Source organism: Homo sapiens, chromosome 15 (genome assembly GCF_000001405.40).
Source record: "Homo sapiens chromosome 15, GRCh38.p14 Primary Assembly".
NCBI classification, from domain to species: domain Eukaryota; kingdom Metazoa; phylum Chordata; class Mammalia; order Primates; family Hominidae; genus Homo; species Homo sapiens.
The window spans coordinates 63220527-63247633 of record NC_000015.10 but is presented as its reverse complement, the minus strand read 5'-3'; the positions used below and the strand labels follow the sequence as shown (position 1 = coordinate 63247633).

General features: G+C 39.5%; 1 protein-coding gene across 3 annotated transcripts in view; it reads right to left on the bottom strand.

The window, feature by feature from the left end:
- RAB8B (RAB8B, member RAS oncogene family) overlaps positions 1–27107 on the bottom strand; it is a 78171-nt gene that overhangs the window by 20143 nt on the left and 30921 nt on the right. For 2 of the 3 annotated variants that reach the window (NM_016530.3, XM_011521669.4), the window contains exon 2: positions 2818–2878. In NM_016530.3, the coding sequence (NP_057614.1) occupies positions 2818–2878 (61 nt within the window). Of the gene's footprint in view, positions 1–2817; positions 2879–23654; positions 23787–27107 lie in introns of all 3 variants that reach the window. The other variant, XM_017022312.1, reaches the window with a different exon arrangement.

Genomic DNA, 27107 nt, shown 5'->3' with positions numbered 1-27107 from the left:
TACTGCTGTCATCAATACACATTAGATCAGCAAACATCACCAACAACCTTCCAAAAGCTCCAAATCTATATGGCTCCATGCAAGGCACTGAACTGAAAGAAATTAAACCAGCTTCTAGGAGGTTAAAAAAAATCTAAGAAGAGCTTCTGAGTTCAAGTCAAAAATATTCAACCTAGCAATCTGGAGGAACCATATTTATTCACTGTAGTTGGACAGATTCTTCAGGAGTTTATGAACCAGAGTTGGGTAATCATAAGATCTTTGCCTTGCATATTGCAACATCAGAGTTGGGAAACATCCTAAGGACTAATAGTTTGTGTTCCTCCAACATTTATATGTTGAAGCCTAATCCTCAATGTGATGGTATTTAGATAGGGGAACTTTGGGAGGTAATTAGGTCATGAGGGTGGAGCCGTTGTGAAAGGGATTAGTGCTCTTCACACCATAGAGATGATCTCTCTCTGGGCCATGTGAGGATACAAGTGAGACAGCTGTCTACAAACCAGGAAGCAAACCTTCACTAGACACTGTATCTGCTGGCACCCTGATCTTGGGTTTCCCAGCCTCCAGAACTGTGAGAAATAAATGTTTATTGTTTAAGACACCCAGTCTATGGTATTTTTGTTATAGTAGCTGTGATAGTGTGATACAGTAAGGAACACATATAATAAGAAACATATTTGGTCTCTGCTCCTGATTCTTGGCACACAGATACTAAAATTCTTGGAATCTCCAACAAAGTGTTTAAGTTCTTTTTGTGCGCTAATGAAATAACTGGTGGCTGGGGCTCCTGTTCAGCCACAGGATAGGAGGCTGGTTGCCAGGAGAACCAACCAAGTGATAAGCGGGCTGGAACTTTCAGTCCTACCATTCGACCTCTGGAGAAGGGAGAGGGGCTAAAGGTTGACTTAATCACCAATGGCCCACGATGCAATCAATCATGGCTATATAAGGAAGCTTCCATAAAAACTCAAAGGACTGGGTTTGGAGAGCTTCAGGAGAGTGAGACACGTGGAGGTGCTGGATGTTCTTGGAGAGTAGATGACCCCTCCCACAAGGAAGGAAGTGTGGAAGTTCCTCACTCCTTCCCACATGGCTTGCCCTGTGTATCTCTTCCATCTGGCTGTTCATCTGTATTCTTTGCAATATCCTTTATAATAAATGGGTAAACATAAATAAAGTGTTTCCCTGAGTTCTGTGAGCTGCTCTAGTAAATTAAAGGAATCAGAGGAGGGGGGTCATCAGAACCCCAATTTATAGCCAGTTGGTCAGAAGTAGAGGTGACAACCTACTACAGTTGAGTATCCCTAATCTGAAAATCCAAAATCTAAAATGCTCCCAAATCCAAAACTTTTTGAGTGCCAACATGATGCCATAGTAGAATATTACACAACTGAGCTCACGTGACGGGTCACAGTCAAAATGTAGACATACAACACAGTTTATTTAAAAAATTTTATTGGCCGGGTGCAGTGGCTCACGCCTGTAATCCCAGCACTTTGGGAGGCTGAGGCGGGCGGATTACCTGAGGTCAGGAGTTCAAGACCAGCTGGCTAACATGGAGAAACCCCGTTTCTACTGAAAATACAAAAAAATAGCAGGGCGTGGTAGCGCATGCCTGTAATCCCAGCTACTCAGGAAGCTGAGGCAGGAGAATCGCTTGAACCCGGGAGGTGGAGGTTGCAGTGAGCCGAGCTCACACCATTGCACCACAGCTTGGGCAACAAGAGCGAAACTCTGTCTCAAAAAAAAAATTTATTAAAATATTGTATAAAGTTATATTCAGCTTCATGTGTACCAGCTGTATATGAAACATAAATGAATTTCGTGTTTAGACTTGGGTCCCATCCCCAAGATATCTCATTATGTATATGCACATATTCCAAAATCCAAGAATATCCAAAATCGGAAACACTTCTGTTCCCAAGCATTTTGGATAAGGGATATTTAACCTGTACTTGTGACTGGCAGCTGAAGTGGGGACACTGCGGGACCCAGCCCTCAACCTGTGGGATCTGATGCTATCTCCAGGTAGACAGTATCAGAACTGACTTAAATTATAGGACACCCAGAAAGAAAAAGAAAATTAAAAAAAGAATTAAAAAAAAGGTATAGGACACCCAATTGGCATCTGCTGGAGAATTACCTGGTGGTGGTGGGGGGAACCCCCTGACATCTGGTGTCAGAAGTACTGTGCTATGTATGAGAAAAAAAGTGTGGTAAAAATATCTTAGAGCAGTCTGAACTATGACATGATTTTTTTTCTCAGTCTTCATTTTTCTATTTAATAAGAAATATGCAAATAAATCATAAAATATCATAGCTGGAGGGGAACTCCAATGCCATCAATCCAACCAATTTACAAACGAGGAAAAGGTGAGACCCTGAGAAGGGAAATAACTGGCCCAAAGCCCTCAATTTGGAGGCATCCTGGCTAGAACCTAGATCTGTACTTCCTGCCAAGGGTTCCTGCGACGTGACTACTCTGTCTTATCAGATTTCAAAACTACAACAACTGTGATGAAGAAGTAATTTGCGTTCCTTAGAATTTAGTTTCCTCCCCTCAAAAATTATAGTTTTGGAAAGATGAGCTATCAGATCTCTTCTGGCTTCAACAGTTAGTACCCTCTCTCACCTTCCCAACTCTTGGTGAAGATACCTTTGAAGGATTCCCAGTGCTTACTTATTTCCCCTTGGTTCCGATAAAGAAAAGATGTTTTAGCTATCACAAGATGCCTCTAACTTATTACAATTCACATTTAATTCCTACTTTCAATTCCCAATTAAAGCAGAAACTCTGTGTGTGTGTTTACTTACCATATCTGAAGCTTAATTTTCTTTCCATCTAGTTCTATCGTTCTAATTTTAAAATCAATTCCTGCCAGAAAAACAAAGAAAGATATGTTAAGTTTCTTCAGATATAATCCAAGTCTCATTAGGAGGACAAAGATTTCTATTGAAAAAAAGCTCTCCAACGCACTGGAAAATGTGAACACAGAGAGGGTGTGAATGGTATGTTTCCTCTGAATACAGGCTGGAGAAAGGAATGCTAATTACTCAGCAAAGAATTCCCACACGTGTTAAATGCAACGTATTATATGCCTCATTATTCTGACACAAATGGATCACATCCTGCAAAGTTATATAATTTAGATAGATTGAGAACATGCCATATTTCCTACTTCCTGAAGTACATATAAACAATGCTTCCTATCTACTCCTCAACCCCAATCCTTCCCAAAAGAAGGCTATGGGACCTCTTTAAAGAATATTCCTCCATCTCCTTCCACTTTTTTCTTCAGATTCTGCAACTGACTAAGGAAAAAAAATTTGCCTATTTGACAGTAAGGGAGGGAAAGCCTGCATATCTATTTTAAACAGTTAGCAAGTATTTTATACACATTTTAATAAATGTTCCCCACAGATTACTTGCTAGAGCTGAAACAGGAAGAATGGATTTCAGGCCTGACTGTACTCTAGAATTGCCTGGTACTATGATCTGAAAGTCCCCTCCAAAACTCAGGTTGAAATTAGATTGCCATTGTGGGACCTTAGAGATACTAAGTACTAAGAGGTGGGACCTTTCACAGCTGATTCATGTGGAGCCTGTATGAACGGATTGTCCTTATCACAGGAGTGAGTTAGTTATCTTGAGAGTGGGTTTTTATAAAAGTTAGTCCTGCTCCTCCTACATTTTCTTCTGCATGAGTGCACTTCCCCTTCCAGTCTTCCAGCATGAGATAATGAAGCATGAAGGTCCTCACCAGATGCTGATGCCATACCCTTGGAGTTCCCAGCCTCCAGAACCATGAGCTAAATAAATTTCTGTTCATTATAAACTATGCAGTTTCAGGTATTCTGTCATAGCAGCAGAAAATGGACTAAGATGACTGAGAAATGTTGAAAAAAAAAATCCTCATGATTAGGCCTGCCCCCTTCCCCAAATTCTGAGATTGTGACTTAATTAGTCAAGGATGGGACCTGGGCACTGGTAATTTTTAAAGTTTCCCAGATGATTCTAACCTGAAGCCAAAAGTTTTGGCTTTCAAAGGGCTATGCCTTTTGAAGGCCTCGGGCACTTCAAAAGTTCAACCCTTCCCTCACGTATTTCCCCCCACTATGGTAGCTCAAAACTTATTTATCAATTTCAAAGACAAAGAACCACAAAGCCCTTGACAAATATCAGCAAGCTCTATCATATATCAGGAATAAGCTTTCTGAGGAGACCAGTTAGTGAATACAACTTAGTTGCAATTTGCTAAATCGTCATCATCTGGCTACTCAGCTTTGTTTAGATTTTTCTATTCTTTTGCATTCTGTCCAGCAGGGTTTCTCAATCCCTGGGCCACAGACCAGTACTGGGCTGCACAGCAGGAATTCAGTGGCAGGCAAGTGAGAGAAGCTTCATCTATATTTACAGCTGCTCCCCATTACTTGCATTGCTGCCTAAGTTCAGCCTCCTGTCAGATCAGCAGTGGCATTAGATTCTCATAGGTGCTCAAACCCTATTGTGAACTGCCCATGTGGGGGATCTAGGTTGTGCACTCCTATGAGAATCTAATGCCTGATGATCTGTCACTGTCTTCTATCATCCCCAGATAGGACCATCTTGTTGCAGGAAAACATGCTCACAGCTCCCGCTGATTCTACATTGGTGAGTTGTATAATAATTTCATTATATATTACAATGTAATAAAAATAGAATATAAGTGCATAATAAATGTAATGTGCTTGAATCATTCCTAAACCACCCCCACCCCCACACCACCACCACCTCCAGTCCCTGGAGGAAAAACTGTCTTCCATGAAACCAGTCCCTGGTGACAAAAAGGTTGGGGACCACTGCTATATAGAACCCCTTAAAGTGGTTTCCAAGAAATTTCAGGAAAACACGTAAATTACATATCCTCTAAATTGACTTAAACATTAACTCCAGTTTTGTTTTGTTTTGTTTTTTGAGACAGAGTCTCACTCTGTCACCAGGCTGGAGTGCAGTGGAGCAATCTCAGCTCACTGCAACCTCCACCTCCCAGGTTCAAGTGATTCTCCCGCCTCAGCCTCCCGAGTAGCTGGGACTACAGGTATGCACCATCACGCCCAGATAATTTTTTGTATTTTTAGTGGAGACGGGGTTTCACCATGTTGGCCAGGGTGGTCTCAATCTCCTGACCGACCTCGTGATCCACCCGCCTCGGCCTCCCAAAGTGTTAGGATTATAGGCGTGAGCCACCCAGCCAACTCCAGTTTTATTTAGGTGGGGAGCATTCAACTGCTATGTTACTACAGTATTTTTTCATATAAACATTGAAAGCACCCAAAAGGCTGCTTCCTAGCTCCAGCTTTATACAATGCATAGACATAAACCAACCGAATTTCCTCCTTTTTTCTCTGTGTGGTACTTTTCCCCCACGGAGCCTTTTTAGATACTCTTGTGTCTTGAAATAGGCAACAATCACACCCAAGCTAATTTAGCAGAACACCTTCTCAACCATTATTTCCCCTCACTAACAACCATAAATTATTAATAAATATTAGGTTGCTGCAAAAGTAATTGCCATTAAGAATGGCAAAAACCGCAATTACTTTTGCAGCAACCTAATGCAATCTGATAACCACTATTCCCAAGTTATCTGGCTCATATTTTCTCCTCTAAGGCACCTCCCTCAGCATTTCAGGGTCTGTAAAGGTGACACAAAACTCAGCAACTCAGCATAAATATTACTGCTAGCATCTGACAAAATATACTGTTTCCATCACTCATTTAAGACTTAATAGACATTGATTTTTATTGTGATTTACGTTTTATATGCCACCAAATCCAGTGTAACAAAGACCCTCTAGGAATCCTCCTCTATCCTTTACCTCTCTTTGGGCCTGGCATCAAGAACAATGCCCAAAACCTGGTATGTACTCAATACATGTTTCTTCAGATTAACATTTTAAAAAAATTCATGACTTTCCAAATCCATAGAAACAGAAAGTAGTACAATGGTAGTTACCAGGATCTGGAAGGAGGGGGAAAGGAATAGTTGTTTAATAGGTATGGAGTGTCAGATTTGCAAGATGAAATAGTTCTACGGATCAGTTGCACCACAGTGTGAACAGGCTTGTAAAACTACTGAACTGTACACTGAAAAATGGTTAAGACTGTAACTTACATATTATGTTTTTACCAAAATAAAAAAAACAATGACTTTCAAAATGCCTACTGTATACCTGAATAAATTAATTAAAAGGCCAATGTCCAACATTTTACCACTTAATAATTCATTCACTTATTTTTTTTGAGATGGGTCTCCTTCTGTTGTGCAGGCTGGAGTGCAGTGGCGCGATCTTGGCTCACCGCAACCTTCGCCTCTTGGGTTCAAGCGATTCTCCTGCCTCCTGCCTCAGCCTCGCGACTAGCTGGGATTACAGTGTGCTCCACTACACCCAGTTAACTTTGGTATTTTCAGTAGAGATGGGGTTTCACCATGTTGACCAGGCTGGTCTCAAATTCCTGGCCTCATGTGATCCACCTGCCTTAGCCTCTCAAAGTGCTGGGATTACAGGTGTGAGCTAGCCTGCCCAACCTTCATTCACGTTTTAAATAAACGACGATGTATACCAGAATATTTGTTCAGATTAATATTTTCCTTATTCTGGCTTATTAAAGTAGTAACGCCTGTTCTTATTAAGGTTGATTTTGCCTGTAATTAGAAGTCATGGGCAACTTTACCACCTTCACTCAATAATGCCAATTTGAGGCTCCTTAAAGCCTCACTCTCCATTCATTTAAAACACTTCAAAAACCTTCTACTGACAGAGGCTTTTTTTTTTTTTTTTTTGTTAGGAACATTACCTTTCAGTTATGTGAGGAAGTTCTACAAGATGGTGACACTTAGCCATCTTTTCACTACTCAAAGGTTTTCAAAGTTTCTAAGAGCTGTGAACTATGGCATTTAGCTTTTGCTTATGCTGTTGTCAAGGGCCAACTGACAGACAACGGCTGCAGAACAAAGTCAAATTAGCACCATATGGAAAAAAAAAAGCAAGTGGGGACCTAGAAAATAGGCAACAGTTTTAGTAAGTAAGAATTTCACTACAAGAGGTAAAAATTCATTGAAAAGCACTGAACTGTAGGTTAGTTCAGTTTAATGACTGAACTGTCACTAAAAACTTGTGAACAGGCTGCTTGACTGCTCTGAACCTATATATCCTCATCCATAAAAAAAGGTTGACAGGATCTAATTAGATAAATTAGACGATGTGTGTGAACGTGCTCTGGGAACTCTGAAATTCCATATAAACCTAAGAGATTACACATTCAGTCTATAACCCTACAGCTCTTGTCACTTCATGCATGGATTATTTGTAATAGCTTTCCAGGATACTGTGCCAACATCTCTCCCTGGTCTAATTCCCCTACATGTCACTTCTAGACTAACTTGCAACAATCCCTGTGGTAATGTCACTGCACTATTTAAGAAGCCGTGGAGCCAACTTCTTCAGCCTGGTGATACAGCCTTTCCCACCAGATGCACCATTCTCCTGACACTGCAAACCTCAGAGTTTCTCCAAATGAGGCCTTTTGCTTCTCTCAGTGGGCCCCATACCTCCTTTCCTGCACTCCTGCATGACCACCTCACTTTGCAGCCTTCTCTGAGGATGCCATTCCACCCATGTAGTTCCCTCTCTTCTCTCCTCAGCTCTGCCTCAAAGCCTGGTTTTTGCACAGTGATTTAATCCTGTGTTATTGGGTTTTATTAACATAGTGCCCTGCAATTGCTCTCAGATCATGCGAAGACTCCATCCTCTCTTTGCCAGTTAAGTTGTGCACAGAAACATGTGTACAGTAACTAAATTAAAGGGTAGGTACTCTTACATATTTAAGTAAATATTATATACTACTAAGGGTAAAGATGGCTTTAAAAACTTTGGAAATTTGGCCAGGTGCGGTGGCTCACGCCTGTAATCCCAGCACTTTGGGAGGCCAAGGCAGGCAGATCACCTGAGGTCAGGAGTTGGCCAGCCTGGCCAACATGGCAAAACCCCTACTCTACTAAAAAAATTAGCTGGGTGTGGTGGTGGGTGCCTGTAATCCCAGCTAGCGGGGAGGCTAAGGCAGGAAAATGAATCACTTGAACCCAGGAGGTAGAGGTTGCAGTGAGCCGAGATTGCACCACTGCATTCCAGCCTGGGCAACAGAGTGAGACTCTGTCTCAAAAAAAAAAAAAAAAAAAACTTCGGAAATTTCTTAATATATTATAGTTACAATAGTCAGGATGCTGAGAAATCTTATTCCAATAAGAAAATGAAGACACATTACAATTAGCTTGACAATAATATCAGTAGTGGATTAACATTCATGTTAAAATTTAAAGCAAAGATAATTTCCTGATGCTACTCCAGGGATTAAAAGAATAATTAGCTGTAAAATGATAATATAATCAGGATGCTTTCAGCTGCAAATAGCAGAAACCCCAAATCAAACTAGCTTAAGGCAATTTGTTGACTCATCTACAACAAGTCCAGTGGTGAATGGGGTTCAGAGATGGCTCAATCTAGGGCTCCAGCTCATTTCTCTGCACCTCCCTGGGTTCTGCCCTCCAGGGAGTATCAATTTCACACTCTTGACTGATAGCAGTTCCTGACCACAACAGCAATACCAGAAGAAAAGAGATTATTTTCCTCTTCCTCTCAAAAGTGAGAAAGCATTTCCCCAAAGCCTCCAACAAGTTTTCCTTCATGTCTCATTTCTGGACTTATAACCATGGGAATGTCATGTTCTGGCAGGCTAAGGCTGAATTCCTGAACTAATCACTGCCACGGGGAATTACCAAGATTGGATTAATCTAAATCCATTCTCTAAATTTAGATTAATCAAGTCCTATCCCTGGAGCTGGGTCACTCCTAGAATCCATAGGCTGCTAAAAATAGAATAGAAAGGCTATTGAGAAAAATCATAATATCCTCTATATTATATACCTATTATATATCCTCTATATAATACTCAAACCTATCTCATTAATAAAATTTTATATTCATAGCTATATGAAAGGACAAACTGTATACTCATATCTATATGAAAGAGCTGCACTACTATCCTGTCATGAATGTTATTACATTTAATGAGAAACTGTAGTACTTCTCTGAAGGCAATTTCATGTAGTGTTCAGCTAAGAACTAGAAAATAAGAAAGAAAAAGGGGACAATGAGCAGCCCAAGTAGCTGCCACAACATCTCTGTGCTGAACTGTGACCACAGCTGCTAGGAGAGTCCTCCAGCCCACAACTCCAAAGACTTGGCTTATCCCCTAGCCCCAGATGACTGGAGACTAGAAAGAAGGAGGGGGCTATCACACCAACAGCAGCAAGAACCAGAGGTCATCCTGGCAGTAAGGGAGCAACTTTTTTTTTTTTTTAATTTAAAAGGACTATACAATCTCAAAAAACATAGTTTTTGAAGGACATTATCCTTCAGGTCAAAAAGCCCTTTGTTTAAATTATACTACAGAGCTATGGTAACCAAAATGGCATGGTACTAGCATAAAAATAGACACATATACCAGTGGAACAGAACAGAGAACCCAGAGATAAATCTATATATCTACAGTGAACTCATTTTGACAAAGGTGCCAAGTACATACATTGGGGGAAAGGACAGTCTCTTCAATAAATGGTGCTGGGAAAACTGGGTATCTGTATGCCGAAGAATGAAACTAGACCCCCACCTCTTGCCATATACAAAAATCAAATCAAAATGGATTAAAGACTTAAACCTAAGACTTCAAACTATGAAACTACTAAAAGAAAACATTGGGGAAACTCTCCAGGACATTGGATTGGGCAAATATTTCTACAGTAATACCCTGCAAGCACAGTCAACCAATGCAAAAATGAACAAACAGGATCACATCAAGTTAAAAAGCTTCTGTACAGCAAAGGAAACAATGAGCAAAGTGAAGAGACAACACACAGAATGGGAAAAAATATTTGCAAACTACCCATCTGACAAGCTATTAATAATCAGAATATATAAGGAGCTCAAACAGCTCTACAGGAAAAAATCTTATAATCTGATTTTAAAATGAGCAGAAGACCTAAGCAGACATTTTTCAAAAGACATACAAATGGCAAACAGATACATGAAAAGGTGTTCAACATCAGTGATCATCAGAGAAATGCAAATGAAAACTACAATGAGATATCATCTCACCCCATTTAAAACGGCTTTTATCCAAAAGATAGGCAATAACAAACACTGGCAGGGATGTGGAGAAAAGGGAACCCTTGCACACTGTGGGTGGGAATGCAAATTAGTACAGCCACTATGGAGAACAGTTTGAAGTCTCCTCACAAAATCAAATATAGAGCTATCATATGACCCAGCAATCCTGCTCCAAAAGGAAGGAAATGAGTATGTCAAAGAAATAACTGCACTCCCATGTTTATTGCAGCACTATTCACAATAGCCAAGATTTGGAAGCAATCTAAGCATCCATCAACAGATGAATGGACAAAGAAAATGTGGTACATATACACAATGGAGTACTATTCAGCCATAAAAAGAATGAGATCCTGTCATTTGCATCAACATGGATGGAACTGGAGGTCATTATATTAAGTGAAATAAGCCAGGTACAGAAAGACAAACTTCGCATGTTCTAATTTATTTGTGGGAGCTAAAAATTAAAATGATTGAATTCATGGAGATAGAGAGTAGAAGAATGGTTAGGCTGGGAAGGGTAGTGGGGGGTAGGGGAAAGTGGTAATGGTTAATGGGTACAAAAAATAGTTAGAATAAGACCTAGTATTTGCTAGGACAATAGGTGACTATAATCAAAAATAATTTAATTATACATTTTAAAATAACTACAAGTATAATTGGACTGTTTGTAACACAAAGGATAAAAATGCTTGAGGTGATGGATACTCCATTTACCCTGATGTGATTATTATTACTCATTGCATGCCTGTATCAAAATATCTCATGTAACCCATAAATATATACATCTACTATGTACCCACAATTTTTTTTTAAAAGACTTTTTGTATTTCAAAAGTCTTTTTGAGAACATCATTTTTTGGCAGCACATAATATAATAATTCATGTTCAAAATGATGACCCTGAGTCATCCTGACTCATGAGCAGTCCATGACCCACCAGGAGGCATGCAGCCCACCCAGCTGGAAACACAATCCAACATCTGAGTTTAGAAGGCAAGATTCCAAAGGTATTTCCATGTTGCTCAAATATACCTCAACACTCATTTTTTGATGGTTTTAAAGTAGTCCCACTTTCCTTATTAATATTTATCTAGTCAATACAGTAGGAAATATAAACTGTAAGAAAACATTCCCAAGGGAATGACTCAAAGGCATTTTCATTTTGAATTTAGAAACTCTCTCTAACAGATTTTGCTTTCCTGAATTGACTCTTATGCTAAATGGTTGCTTATAACATAAGGAGGCAGGGAAATAAGTATGAAAGAGAATCATAGAATTATAGACTTGAGAAGTACTTTAGAGATCATTTAGTTCAGTCCTGTCTGTGTGGCTAAGAAAACTGAGGCCAAGAGAGATGCAGCAATTTACGCAGATTCACGAAGACCAATAAAAAAAGGTTAGGTTAAAATCAAGTTTTGGCTTTTAAAGATCAGACCTTCCCAAAGGGAGACGTACAAGAACATCCACATCTTGGTGGGGAAACTTCCTCTTTAAGGGTCATAGTATAGAACACAGGCAACAACTTAAACGTCCACCAACTGGAGAATGCCTTGGTATACAAGTAGAGTAGGAATACTCGAGCAGTGAACAAAAGCCATATTTATCAACATAGATGAATCTAAAAAAGATGATGGTAAGTGAAAAGAACAAGTTGCAGAAATATACAGTCAAACCAATTTGTATATTTCTGAAAAAAATATTTAAAATGCCAAAACAACAGTATTATCATTCATATATATAAAATATATATAGTATATTTTTATATATATATCCATGTATAATTACAGTATAAAACATGGATAGGAATGATTATTAACAAATTAAGGATAATACTCAATGTTACCTCTAGAGAGAAATGGAAGAGGAGGGATTCATAGGGGACTTTGACTCTATAATTTATTATTTCTAAAATTGAGTGGTGGGTACATGGACATGAGAATGTCTTATATTAGCTATACTTTAATAGGTCTAAAAGTTTTTGAAATTCTTTTAAAAAGCAAATATTAGTAACCTGGAAAACATACATGGAGGTATGTTCATTAACGGCAGTAAAAAACCAAACCAAATTTTAGAGATGAGCGGTACCTTAGAAGATTTAGTCAGGGGAAAAGCAGGCTCTATCGCTCTTATTCAATACAGTATAAAGAGGTCCTGTGAGCCCTTGGTAGCCCACCCCATCCATGCCTGGTCACCAATGGCTTACAGTCCTTCTTTATATCGAACAAGGATGGTATGGTAGTGCCTGCTTTTTCCCTGACTAAATCTTCTAGGGGTACATTTTATCTCTGAAATTTTGGTTGATTTTTCCACTACCATTAATGAATGCATGCCTTCACATGTCAGATTTCCAGGTAACTAATACTGGATCAAGTTCAGATTGGATCAAGTTCAGAAAGTGAGGGGCAGAGCAGGGAAGTGGGGTGGCAAGGAATGCTAGCTACTCTGATTTCAAGCAGGGGGTTTGGGGACTTTTCTTCTCCACCTCGAGGAAAAGGAGTTTTGACTTGGACCAAGGACAAGTGAAGAATACACATTTGGGTCACTGTTGGGAGTGGCACTCTGGCAGGAAGAACAAAGGAGTTCTGATTTTCCATTCAATGGGAGAAGGCGGACAGCCACTGCCCCACCCTTGGGGTGGGAGGTTTGGGCCAGGAGGCTCTTTCCTGCACCTCTGAGGAGAAGGCAGGGTGGTATTTGAGGTTTCTGCATTGTCCAGCGCAACCCACAGGGCATCAGAGCTCGCAGATACCTCACCACGTGGCACCAGTGAGGGGTAAGGAGCAAGCTCTTACCCAGAGTACTGCTTACCAGATATTTCTCAGCAACCAGTGATGTCGCTGGAGGCAGCTGAGGGGAAGGGCTTGGCCAGCAAAACAGAAAGAAGGAAACTTTCAACCTGGCCCAAGTCCATAGTTAACAGATCTAACAGGGAAAAGGAACTTGGAATGAGCAGTACTGGGCCACTTTTCATTCCACAAATTAGATATAATTGAACATGGTAAAGGGACAGATTGACAAGACTCTTTTACACTAAAGTTAAATTAGTCAGTCAACAGATATTAATAACATAATCTTTTCTGTTTCAAGAGAATAGGGAGGTTGCCCCTGCGTTTGTGAATGGGTGAAAGGATACCATTGCTGGAGTGTGGGAAAGAGTAGTTTTCTTGGCCTTCGGAACTCTCTCTCTAGGGCCAACTAGTTCTCCTGACCTTCAGCATAAGCTGTGACTTGATGCATTTTGGCCGGTGGGTGCTGCAGCTTAGAACACACACAGCTCTCCTGCTTTGAGTACTATCTTGGGTCTCCTGGGGAAGTCTGCTGCCTGGTCCAGAAAAATCAGGGGTAGAAAAACATCAGGGACCTTCAACTAAGGTTTTCTATACCTCGTTCCCACTGAATTTCTTTTAAAAGACTAATTTGGCTGCAGTCATGAGAACCTTGAAAAAAAATTCAGACTTCTGGGTCATTCAGCCTTTCAATGAATCATAACAATGCAAGATTTCAATGCTGGGTTTACTCACAGCACTGCACATTTTTCTACAAAGGTTATCTATCCCCTTTGACCCACTTTAAGAAGCAGAAGTTAAATACTGTGCTTTTACAGTTAAAAAGGAAAAAAAAACAGGACTTTGTTTCAAAAGTACATTTGGAAACACGTGATCCCAGGCTATCTGAATATGGGTTATGTGGTTTGTATATTTACATTTCAGAGATCTTCCAGAAATAGAAAAATAGTTTCCCAAATATTGAAGTCTACTTTAAAGAAATGCTACATTCACCTCCTTAAGATTTTGATTAACAATAAAGATACAGTTCTTGCCAGTTTTGAAACTTTCTTTGACAATCAAATTTTGCTTATGCTTTTTTTGGTTTGAATTTAGATTAATGAAATTTTAGAGTAGCTGATTTTAGGATAATTAGTTGAAATCTCTAATTAGAAAAATGGACTACTGAAATAAAAAATGAGTCATAAACTGAAGCTTTAAAATATTTTTTTCTCAAAATAAAGGACTTGGAGAAAATGTAAAGGTAGAAATAAATCAAGAATGTTACTTAGATTGAGACTGGGAACAGTGGCTAATGCCTGTAATCCCAGCATTTAGGGAGGCTGAGGTGGGAGGATCACTTGAGGCCAGGAGTTGGAGACCAGCCTGGGCAACATGATGAGACCCCACCTCTAAAAAAAAAAAAATTAAAAATTAGCTGGATGTGGTGGCACGTGCCTGTGGTCCTAGCTACCTGGGAGGCTGAAGTGAGCGGATAGCTTGAGGCCAGGAGTTAAAGGCTGCAGTGAGCTATGATCATTGCGCCACCACTCCCCAGCCCTGGCATGCCATGAGACTATTCTCAACAAAAAAGAAAAAAAAAAAGAATGCTACTTAGATTGAAAAAAAAGAGGTCAAGGCATTGTTCTTTCATAAATATACGTCGCATAAGTTATAAAGCTATTTTCACCAAGTATAAGTTATTTTGCTGGATATATTTATAACTATTTAAATTTTTGTTTATTTATATTAAAATTGTTTTCTTGTTTGAAAATTAGGAAGTCTAAAGTTTAGGAGGAAAAACACAATAAAAGTAAGTTTAGAAAACATTTAACAACAGTGTGAAATGATCACTGGCAGCCAAATACGTTTATTTTAGCTTTGTTCAACCCAACAGAGGAAAACGGGGCATTTTTTAAGGGGGACAAATGGTCAGCAAATATAACTTGCCCTTAAAAAAAAACCTGATAAACTAAGAAGATGGACTAGAATTTTCTGACGTGTTTGGTTCTTCCATCCTATGAATAGGAAGTGGCAAATTAAATGGCATTTATATATGTCAACAGTGACACACATTACCACTTCCTGCTAAAAAAGCTGAACGGCTTTACACTGTTTCAGAATTTTCTATTTGTTACTAAATTAAATTCAATTCTTGGCATTCTTCATATGACAGCTGTACCCATAAGATCTAATCATACCAACAAAATATAACAAACTCATAAACTAATTTCAGAAATTAGGAAGAATTTACTAATTTCTCTTTGAGCCATAAACATGCATTATAGATATACAAATAGTACAATTAAGAATAGTTTTAAACAATGTCTCTATTTGAGTCTCGAAGGGCTTTAATTTGTAAGGTTAAAATATAATGATCTAATTAACCCTTAATATATCTCTGGGAAATAAATGAGCAAAATAAATAACTATATATCAAATGATAACTACTAAAATATAACTATGTGTTGAATCATAAATAAAAGGTTTCTAAATGCTAGAACTACCAAAAGTCAAGAAAGACAAAAATAGCAAATAAAGTGTAATAATACAGCTACAACTCAGGTAAAGTATGCAGAAACAATTAGGAAACACTGAGAATTTTAAATCTGATTAAGGAGCCAGCAGAGATTATCCAGCATTCAGCTCACCATTTAAGCCAGGCCAAAAGACTTCATGACAAGTCTCTTTTGCAAATCTTGCACTTTGAAAAGGAAATGTGTTTCAAGTGTTACTCAATCTAGAAGTAGCAATAAGCTCGAAGATGTCAAAATGTGGATTTTAGAGATTCTCAGTGAACAGATGTTGTACCTTCAATAAAGTCTCTTTTCATAAAGGGGCTAACTGGTGAACTAACCTTTCTTAAAGAATGAAAGTTCAGAATGCCTCTGAGCTTCCATTTCTTTCCCCACTATTAATTCATCATTATCTCAAGAACCAAACTGCTCCAAAACAAAACCAGTTGCGTCTCTCTTGCTGCATCCATTGTTTCTGATAAAGTGTACCTTTGTAGCAGGAAAACCCCTCGAGTATGAACCTCTATTATTTCCTAAACCTAGAATTTCCTTGTTTGAATTCTGACAACTGAGTCAGATCTGTTTCATTTAAGGGTGAGGTGAATACTCTGAAGACATTCAAAAACTGAAGTTAAAAAAAAAAACAAAAAACACGCAAATCCCTGATTTTAGGTACTAAGGCGCTATTGCTATGGGAAGACCATATTGCCAAATCACTGGAATTATCACTGGAAAAAATTACAACTACATTCCAATGATGTTGCACCAAAAATGCAGTGAAACTGATTATTTGGCTCTTTCCAAGTATTGACCATGTATCGTATTTTCCATTCATTTAGAGGTAAATGAAAGCTAAAAAAATAAACTAATAGAACTAAGTAATAACACTACATAGTACAACTAACTAAAAACAAATGATATCTCTTTTCCCTTTTAGAATGAATTCTTAAAAAGAAAAAATTAAAAAGAATGCTATCCATGTAATGTATCAGATAATAACCAGGGTTAAAACAAACTTTAGCTGTATACATATTTTTACTTTCCAGGAAAATTCCCAAGTCACTTTGTTCAGAAATATTTCAGCTTATATTGGTATGAACTGTAAAATTTGGTAATTTTCCCACCCAATTAATACAAATAAACATTTTAGTAGAGAGGGGAGGAGGAAGGGTCTTTACCAAATTACTAGAGGCAGTAGAGAAAAACCTAAAGTCATACTCTCCCAGCCTGGGCAACATAGTGAGAGCCCATCTCTACAAATTAAATTAAATTAAATTAAAAATTAGCTGGGCATGGTGGCACATGCCTGTAGTCCTAGCTACTCGGGAGACAGAGGCAGGAGGATCATTTGAGCCTAGGAGTTCAAGGCTACAGTGAGCTATGATTGTGCCACTGCACTCCCACCTGGGAAACAGAGCAAGGCCCTGTCTCTAAAATAATAATAATAATAAGTAGTAAAATCATACTCTCTCCTGCAGGCCTGCCTCTGCCTTCTCTCATCCTCTTATCCCACTGACTTTTCTCTAAATAAAAAGTGATAACAGGCCGGGCGTGGTGGCTCACGCCTGTAATCCCAGCATTTTGGGAAGTCCAGGCGGGCGGATCACCTGAGGTCAGGAGTTCGAAAACAGCTTGGCCAACGTGGCGAAACCGTGTCTCTACTAAAAATACAAAAATTAGCCAGGTGTGGTGGTGGGCGCCTGTAATCCCAGCTACCAGGGAGGCTGAGGCAGGAGAATTCCTCGAACCCGGGAGGCGGAGGTTGCAGTGAGCCGAGATCAAGCCACTGCACTCCAGCCTGGGCGACAAGAGCAAGACTCTGTCTCAGCAACAACAACAACAAAAGTGGTAAGAGATTATAAAATAAACAAACATAACTGCAAACTTCCAGCGTTCTGAATCTAGTTAACAAGAGCCTTTTCTTGATCAAAACCAACATCAATGCCACAAAAGTGTATGAAAATTAAGCAGCACTTACAGCTCACTGTAGCCAGTGTGATGGAAGGATAATTATAATAAGCTATTGCTGATGAGTAAAGTTACAACCAACAGAGTAATGCAGGTAAGAGGATGAGTAAAAAAAAAATCAACATTTTGGCACAAATGGCATATTTTTCCCAATCAATAATGAAAAACTACCAGTGACTACATCCTCCTGATTTGTAAGCACAATCCTCTATGATACAAAAGTTTGAAGGTGACAACACTCTATAACCTTCATGGCCAATTACACTCATCTATATATGTAGCCATTCACCTTAAAATAAAGACACTCTACTAACTTTATAGGGTGCCAAAAGATTCTGTCCTCTATTACTTCCTTGGTTTGGCTTCTTTTTTTTTTTTTTTTTTTTTTTTTTTTTTGAAACAGCGTCTTGCTCTGTCACCTAGGCTGGAGTGCCGTGGTGCAATCTCGGCTCACTGCAACCTCTGCCCCCAGGGTTCAAGAGATTCTTGTGCCTCAGCCTCCTGAGTAGCTGGAATTACAGGCACGTGCCACCAAGCCTGGCTAATTTTTGGATTTTTAGTTGAGACATGGTTTCACCATGTTGGCCAGAATGGCTTGAACTCCTGACCTCAGGCAATCTGCCCGCCTTGGTCTCCCAAAGTGCTGGGATTACAGGCGTGAGCCACCATGCCTTCTTTTCAAATACTGGAGAAATACATTAAGGATCACTGAATGTCTGTGAGCACCTATCTTCCTCAGGAATATTTTTCAAAGTTACAAGATGCTTTTTAAACAGGTCATCATCAGGCAGTCACCCCAAATGACTGACACATAAGATACCGAAGACTCATTTGGAAATCTCTAGCCTGAACTTGAGCCCCGAAGGGCAATGACCTTTATTTCTATAGCAGAATACCTGGGAGTGAGCAACCAAAAGATATGTCTTCTCTTAGGCATGCATAGAAATACTTCCTGGAAAATAGCTTTCCTCCTCTCCCCCACCCCTTATTTCCCAATGCTGGGGTAGCCACTGAAGGCTTTGTGTCTTATTTACCATGAAGGAATATTTTGAAGCTATTAAAAGTGATCCTTGATTGTTACCAAGGTTATATAGAGATCTCGAAAATATTTATGTTATCATGTTATAAACGTGGCAAAATATAAAATGCACTGTCTGCAACCATGTAGAAAATACATGTACATATGGAAAGCAACATGTAAAACAATTATATAGCTATGTTAGGCTAAGTATATTAATGTGAGATGATTTTCAAAATTACAAACTAAAGTTTTCACTTACTCATTATTTTTGCATTGATAAATTCTGAAGAAAATATTATACATACAATAGCGAAAATAGTACTCACTGTAAGTATACTTCAAATTCTGAATTAAAGAAGCTTTTAGGGGCTGCCCTTGCAAAATCTTAGCATTTAGTATAATCTTGTTTCTATGGGAAAAAAAGCACAAAAAAAGGGCACCAAACAACTAATTCACACACTCCATCTGAAAGAGCTAGTGTGAATTGGGGACTGCAATCATTATCCACCAAAGAGCCCAGACAAATATGTTCCTCTTTCTCTAATACTGCAGTTCCAGTTTATTTCTTGTCACCTGCAAGACAGCATGTGGGAAACAAAGAAAGGGATCAAGACATGAACTTGCTTTCACATGCTGTGTTTTATGACCATCTGCAGAAACAAATCCAGGAGGAAAGGCATCATTTGCAGAATTCATTTTTCCAGGCTATCCCTGTCCCTAATTAACACAGATAATTCTGAGTTTGCCATATCATAATTTATTAGCCACATTCAATTAATCTAATCAGCTGTAAAACAGGAGAGGGCAGCAGTACAAGTTTTAATAAAGTGAGCTCACTGGGGCAGGGTTCGGTAGCTCACACCTATAATCCCAGCACTTTGGGAGACCAAGGCAGGAGGATCGCTTGAGCCCAGGAGTTTGAGACCAGCTTGGGCCACAAAGGAGACCCTACTCTACAAAAAAATAAAACAATTAGCTGGGTGTGGTGGTGTGTGCCTGTAGTCCCAACTACTTAGGAGGCTAAGGTGGGAGAATTGCTTGAGCCTAGGAGGTCGAAGCTGCAGTGAGCCATGTTTGTGTCTCCAACCTGGGTGACTACGCTCCAGCGTGGGTGACAAAGTGAGACCCTGTGAAAGAGAAAGGAAAGGAAGAAAAGGAAAGAGAAAAGGAAGAAGAGAAAGGAAAGGAAGAAAAGGAAAGAGAAAAGGAAGAAAAGAAAGGAAAGGAAAGAGAAAAGAAAGAAAAGAAAGGAAAGGAAAGGAAAAGAGAAAAAAGAAAAGAAAAGAGGGTGCTCACTGGATTTTAAAAGCTGCTCAGCTGAGGATCATGGTGAATTCCCACACAGACAAAGGGCAAAAGCAGCCTTGGTGAACAATTTGTTTTGTTATATTTTTAACTCATCTTTCTGTTTATAAAGCCCCATAATACAATGAAGTTAAGAACAAAACAAACAGCAGGTATGCACAGATTATTTTAAAAACAAATCCAGGGGTTCAGAGGGTGAAGAATTCTGGGTTCCTGGGTGGACAGAGCCAGAATGTTTCCATACATGAACGGTTGAGGAAAACAACCAAAACTAAATAAAACAAAATTGAACATCAACTTGTAAATTAACCTCTGCAATTGAAAAGTTAGTATTTTACAATGTTAACTTCATTTACCCCGTTTCTGCCTGATCCAAAAGTACGTTTGCAGCACCCTAACAGTAACCCTAAGTTACTAACACGAAAAACAAAAACAGAACTATTCACTCACAGATAACTTTACAGGCACAGTGTTATTTCAAAGATGTCCTCAGGCAAGCCTGGGGCAGGATTTCTGTATCTAGTGGTCACAGTTTTGGTGTTCTCAGTTTGGTCCTCATTGTCATTAGGTCAGGAAATACATACAACAGTGGATGCAAATGTCAGAGGCGTGTGAACCAGAGCAACTCCATCTTAAACAGGAGCTGGGTAAAATAAGGCTGAAACCCACTGGGCTGCATTCCCAGATAGCTAAGGCATTCTAAGTCACAGGATGAGACAGGACGTCAGCACAAAATAAAGCTCATAAAGACCTTGCTGATAAAACAGTTTGCCCTAAAGGAACCAGCCCAAAGCCACCAAAACCAAAATGGCCACAAGAGTGACCTCTGGTCGTTGTCACTGCTACACTCCCACCAGCACCATGACAGTTTACAAATGTCATGGCAATGTCAAGAAGTTACCCTATATGGCCTAAAAAGGGGAGGCATGAATAATCCACCCCTTGTTTAGCAATATCATTTAAAAAAAAACCATAAAAATGGGCAACCAGCTGCCCTTGGGGCAGCTCTGTCTATGGAGTAGCCATTCTTTTACTCATTTACTTTCTTAATAAACTTGCTTTCACTTTGCACTGCAGACCCGCCCTGAATTCTTTCTTACATGAGATCCAAGAACCCTCTCTTGGGGTCTGGATCAGAACCCCTTTCCTGTAACACAAAGAAGTTAAGAAATGTGAAAACACAATGACTATGTATTTTTAACCTCAAATTGTCTATCAGCAGAATGAGAAGTGTGAAGAAAAATGACGCTGGCCATTTTAGGAACAGATCACAACCATAGACGGCAGATCTTGGCATGAATTTCTGAGGGTGAGAGAAGAAAGCAGAAAAAAATGTGTGCATTCTGAAAAACTGATATTTAATCTATTTTGCATAGGTAATATACCTTTGCAGGACTCAAAGTTGAAGGCTGAAGTCCATATTTGGAGATTATGATACTGAAGTCAGAAAAGTGGGAGATTTGGCCCCTTATCTGATTTACAACCAATTCCTTATCCTACGTGTGAGTATAATCCATTTATCAAATTGTAGAACAGAAAACTGACGGAGGCTGCTTCATTTTAGCTATGTAACAGATATGGCTAAAGAGTGCTCAACCACACATGATAGATACAATAAGGTTTACCTTAGTCAAATGAAGGCAAATTTAGCGAAAATCAGATTGACTAAGGCAAGGGCAAATTTCAAGATTTAATTTGACAAAGAATTAGTGGCTGGGCACAGTGGCTCACACCTGTAATCCCAGCACTTTGGGAGGCATAGGCAAGAGGATCACTTGAGCCCAGGAGTTCAAGACCAGCCTGGGAACATGGCAAAATCCCGTCTCTACAGAAAATACAAAAATGAGCCAGGCATGGTGGCAAGCACCTGTAGTCGCAGCTACTGATGGGGCCGAGGTGGGATGATTGCTTGAGCCCAGGAGGTCGAGGCTACAGTGAGCTATGATCACGCCACTGCACTCCATCCTGGGTGACAGAGCGAGACCCTCTTTCAGAAAGAAAAAAATAAAACAGAGAAGGAAAAAAATATTAAATTCTTCTTGCCAATGAGCTAAACAAGAAAAAAGAAAAAGAATTAGTGGGCACCTCCATGAGCCTGACACTACGCTAGGCACTGAGGAATACAACAATGAAAAGTTATGAGTCTCAAGGAGCTCCTAGGCTAATAGTCATTAAAATTTCATAATGTGAAAATCCTACTCCATACTGGTGTCTTTGCTAAAGACAATATTCTAAGGTTTGCTCTTCAGGAGCAGGAACTAACAACAGATGATGAACTAACAAAACCATGATTTCCTAAGATATGAAAGTGTCTGCTGTCATTTCCAGAAGCAAGTATATATTTATCACCCAAAAGGCTGAGAGTAAGCAAGCGGCATTTGTCTCTCACAAATGGCAAAAATGTTAATAGTAACTTTTCATGTTGTTTAGAAACAAATTCGGCTTAAAATATATGACAGCAATAAAAATTAAAAGTACTCAATATACCATCACTTTTGCATTCTCTCCTAGCACTCCAGTAAATAAACTATAGTCCTGGTCAAGTCTGAAATTCTGACTTGTAAGAGCTTTGATGACTAGCTAAAAATAAAAATTGTCAAACATATTTATAAGGAATGGTAATACTAAAAACTCCAACACGGTTAAGTTACATTAACAAAGGCTAAGAGGCTCAGCAAACTTTGGTAGTGCAGCTGCAGAGTTTTGAATCCTGACTCCAAAGTCCTTTGTCTGATAAGCATGATGATATTACGTTAAAGACGATATTATATTTATTGTGTACCTACTATGTGCCAGGTAGAACTATAGGAAATATCCATCCCTAACCCTCATTTCACTGATAAAGAACCTGCTGCTCTAAGAGGTTAAGTAACTTGTACAAACAACAAGAAAGTGGCAGAGCTGGGGTTTCAACCCATGTCTGCCCATCTCTGATATCTGATCTCCCCTCGTTGGGCTAAAGATGAGGATTCTGTGTCTCAAGTGACACTAACAGGAGAATCACCCTTTAGAGTCCACCCTGGAGGAGGTACTAGCTCAGATTATGGAGGACTTGGGAGGAATCTGTTTCTAATACATCCCTTAAAGTTGAACCTAACTCCAGATTATGTCGCGATCACAAAAGGAAAATTGGTCCATTCTTGGTGGACCTGAATATTAGGAATTAGTTCTTTGAGCCTCTGAGTATGCTTAGCACAGCCATTTTATTATGAAATCCTTATTTCTAGATTAATCTGAAATAGATCTGATCATCCTGGCAAACTAGAGAAGACCCCATCTATGTAGGTCTGTTTTGAATCAGAATGAAGCTATCTCCCAAGGCAAGGTTCAAAATAAGAGATGTTAAGGAGATGGGGCAATTAGGTAATTTTCCACTCATATGATTGAAATCCATCCCATGTTAGCCTATGTGACAGGGACTGTGACACTCATGCTGCTCCAGGAAACATGATCTTGGTTCTACAGTAAGACTAGGAAGAACTAAAAAAGTTTGGATACCTGGGGTATTATCAGTGGTCAAATGTACTTGGCCATTTGAAGAATACCTTTTAAATATACATAAATATCTTCCAACATGGGATGAATATTTTCTATAACTTTTCTCTATCTAATTATAGTTGCATCTTCCAATTCTGAGTTTATAATGAGAAAGAAACTATGTTGGAAACAACTACAAATGATAAAAATAAATAAAATAAAATATGGCCAGCTGGCAGACTGTTCTACAACATCATTGAGGCTCCGTGCATCACTTGAATAAAGCTTGATAGTTTATAAGCATTTCCTTGTTTTGATCATCACAGACAACCCTGAAGATGTAGGTATAACAGGAATCATAAGTATCTCCACACGGAGAGAATGAGTGACTTACCCAACACCACAGTGCTATAAGTGACAGTGATTCCAAATCCAATACTCTGTCCACTACATCACACTGCTTCATTAGCAGACATTTTGTGGGATAATAAAATGGGTTGTTTTTATTCCTCTATGTGAGGCCGCACTATAGAAGAAAACAATATAAAGACAAAAGAAAAACTCCTTTTTTGGAACAGTGTATCAGTCAGGGTCTAGTCAGGAAAAAGAAATCAAATACAGTCATGTGTCACTTAACAACCAAGTACAGTCACGTGTCACTTAACAACCAGTACAAGTACAGTCGTGTGTCTTCAAGTATAGTCATGTGTCACTTAACAACCAGACGTTCTGGAAAATGCATTTTTAGGTGGTTTCGTCTTTGTGCAAACATCATAGCATGTACTACACACCTAGTCTACGTAGTATAGCCTGTTTATTGCTCCTAGGCTACAAACTTATATAGTATGCTACTGTACCAAATACTGTATGCAACTGTAACACAATGGTAAGTATTTGTGTGTTTAAACATATCTAAACATAGAAAAAGTACAGTAAAAACATGGTATAAAAGATAAAAAATGGTGGCTGGGCCCAGTGGCTCATGCCTGTAATCCCAGCACTTTGGGGCCGAGGCAAGTGGATCACCTGAGGTCAGGAGTTCGAGACCAGCCTGGCCAATACAGTGAAACCCCGTCTCTACTAAAAATACAAAAATTAGCCGGGCATGGTGGCAGGTGCCTGTAGTACCAGCTACTTGGGAGGCTGAGGCAGGAGAATCGCTTGAACCCGGGAGGTGGAGGTTGCAGTGAGCCAAAATCATGCCACTGCATACCAGCCTGGGTGACAGAGCAAGATTCCGTCTCAAAAAATAACAAAAAATAAGTAAAATAAAAATGGTATACCTATATAGGGTACTTACCATGAAAGGCGCTTACAGGACTGGAAGTTGCTCTGAAGGAATCAATGAGAGAGTGATGAGTGAATGTGAAGGCCTAGGACATTACTGTACACTACTGTAGACTCTATAAACACTATACACCTAAGCTACACCAAAATTATATTTAAAAAATAAGGTAACTGTAGTACAACATTACAATAGTTATGATGTCACTAGGCAACAGAAATGTTTTAGCTCCATTATAATCTTATGTGGGCCGGGCATGGTGGCTCACACCTGTAATCCCAGCACTTTGGGAGGCCAAAGCGGGAGGATCACTTGAGGTCAGGAGTTCGAGACCAGCCTGACCAACATGGTGAAACCCCATCTCTACTAAAAATACAAAAAAAATTAGTCGGGTGTCGTGGCATATGCCTGTAGTCCCAGTTACTCGGGAGGCTGAGGCAGGAGAATTGCTTGCGCCCAGGAAGCGGAGGTTGCAGTGAGCCAAGATTGTGCCACTGCACTCCAGCCTGAGCAACAGAGTGAGACTCCGTCTCAAATAATAATAAAAATCATCATTATCATCATCATCATCAACTTATGGGACAACCATCCTATATATGATCCATCATTCACTATAATGTTGTTATGTGGTGCATGACTGTATTTACAACAGAAGGAATTTAATAGAGGGAACTGGCTATATAAGGCATTAAATTGCTGCAAACCATATTGGGGATGGTAAAAGGTTTAACAACAGCAGGGAGCCACTACCACCCCTAAGCCGGAGAGACAAAAGGAAGAGATGACAACAGCAGGGAGCCACTACCACCCCTTAGCTGGACAGACAAAAGGAGGAGATGGTGTTATAGGAACTGAAGACATAGAGTCACTGGACAAGAACCATGGTGGTCCTGTCCAGTGAGAACTAAAGCCAGAGAGAAACAGTCTCTGCTAGAGAAGCCACCCAAGGCAAGAAGGGAAAAAGAGAAATATCTTGGTTTCTCCCTTTCTCCTCTTGCATTATTTCCTGCCAGTTTCTCTAATCAGCTGAACCCAGTCTGAAGCTAGCTGACCCAGAAGCCTGGGTGGAGAAACAGGGAAGAATGAATATTAGAGAAAACTGACCAAGGGCTACAGTTAATCCTCAGCTGCAATAATCAAATATGTGACTGTTACAAGCAACTGAGATTTTGGGGTTGTATAACTGCAAAAGCTGACTGATACATGCCTCCACAAACATCAAGTAGGTAAATAAATAAGCAGACAGAAGTGAAATAAATGGAGAATCAAAAGTGAAATCATAGCAATAATTACTTTTAATAATTGCTTTGAAGACATTTCCACTATTAATTCGTGAGCCCAGGGTGGAAGGCAAGCACATGTACAGACCCCCAACCATGCTCTGGTCCTGAAGGAGAAGTCCATTCAGGAACCTGTCTAGCTATGTGGTGGGATCCCCAGCTAGCGGTGGAGATGAGCCCTGGCCAGGACTGTCTTATAGCTTCACAATTAACTGGGCAGTTCGGGACAGGATGACCTGGTGAACTGGGAGTGTCATATGCTGGCAAGTGAGGAGCCAGGACTTCCAAAAAGGAAGTTTGTCACTGAGTCAGCGATGTTGCCAAGCCCTAAGCCAGAGCAGTACTAATATAGCTCAAAGGTAACCACTGACATGGCCATTCAAGCTTTTTGCTTATAATACTTCTAGCACAGTACTAGCTTCCATCATAATACATACAGTATAGCTTCATTAGTTATTTATAATCCCTCCCTTCTCCCAAAGTAGACTGTATGCACCACAGGATACTGGATACCTTTTTAGTTTATGTAACTCTACAATTACCCATCTTAAAATATATGGCCCCATCCAACATATCCAACATTATTTTTCACAATTCCTCAGCATAAAACCTCAGAAATGCCTCTTTCATGCTCTGTGGTATTCCCTGCCTCTAAGCATTTTTCAAGATCTCCCCATTGTCTGGAACATTCTCCATCCTTTCCATCTGAATCCTGAAAGTGCCTCAAGATTCAGAAACTCTACCTCCTCTGTCCTCCAGTTATTCCAGCCAACTCTGCTCACTCTCTACCCTAAACTCCTACAGAATTTAGAATGCATATCATTATGCATGTGGCAATTAATTATTTTTGTTGTTTCATTTAAGTTTTACCTTCCCAATTACACTTGAGCAGAGGATCTAGCACTGTATACGGCTGATTAAATAAGTGCCTGATAAATGTTTAAAGGAATAAATGAAAGATAAACCCTTTTTAAAAAAAAGCAGGAGCCTCATCTTTTACTTACAGTACTTCATTTGGAACCTCCCTCCTGTTTGCCAAGCAAGTAACAGGCACTCAATAAACATTTCTTGACACTGATCAATTACTTTGGAATACAATCAGGTTTACATATGTCTAGATTGATCCTACTGGAATGAATCTTAATGGCTGGCAAATTAAGTTACATATTTGGGTAACTTTAAGTGATAAAACAAAAAAGTGAAACACAAAAAACACTAAAATATGAAACCACTGAAAGTTTCAAAAAATACCACTTGACTCTTACTCCTCCTTACTCTTATA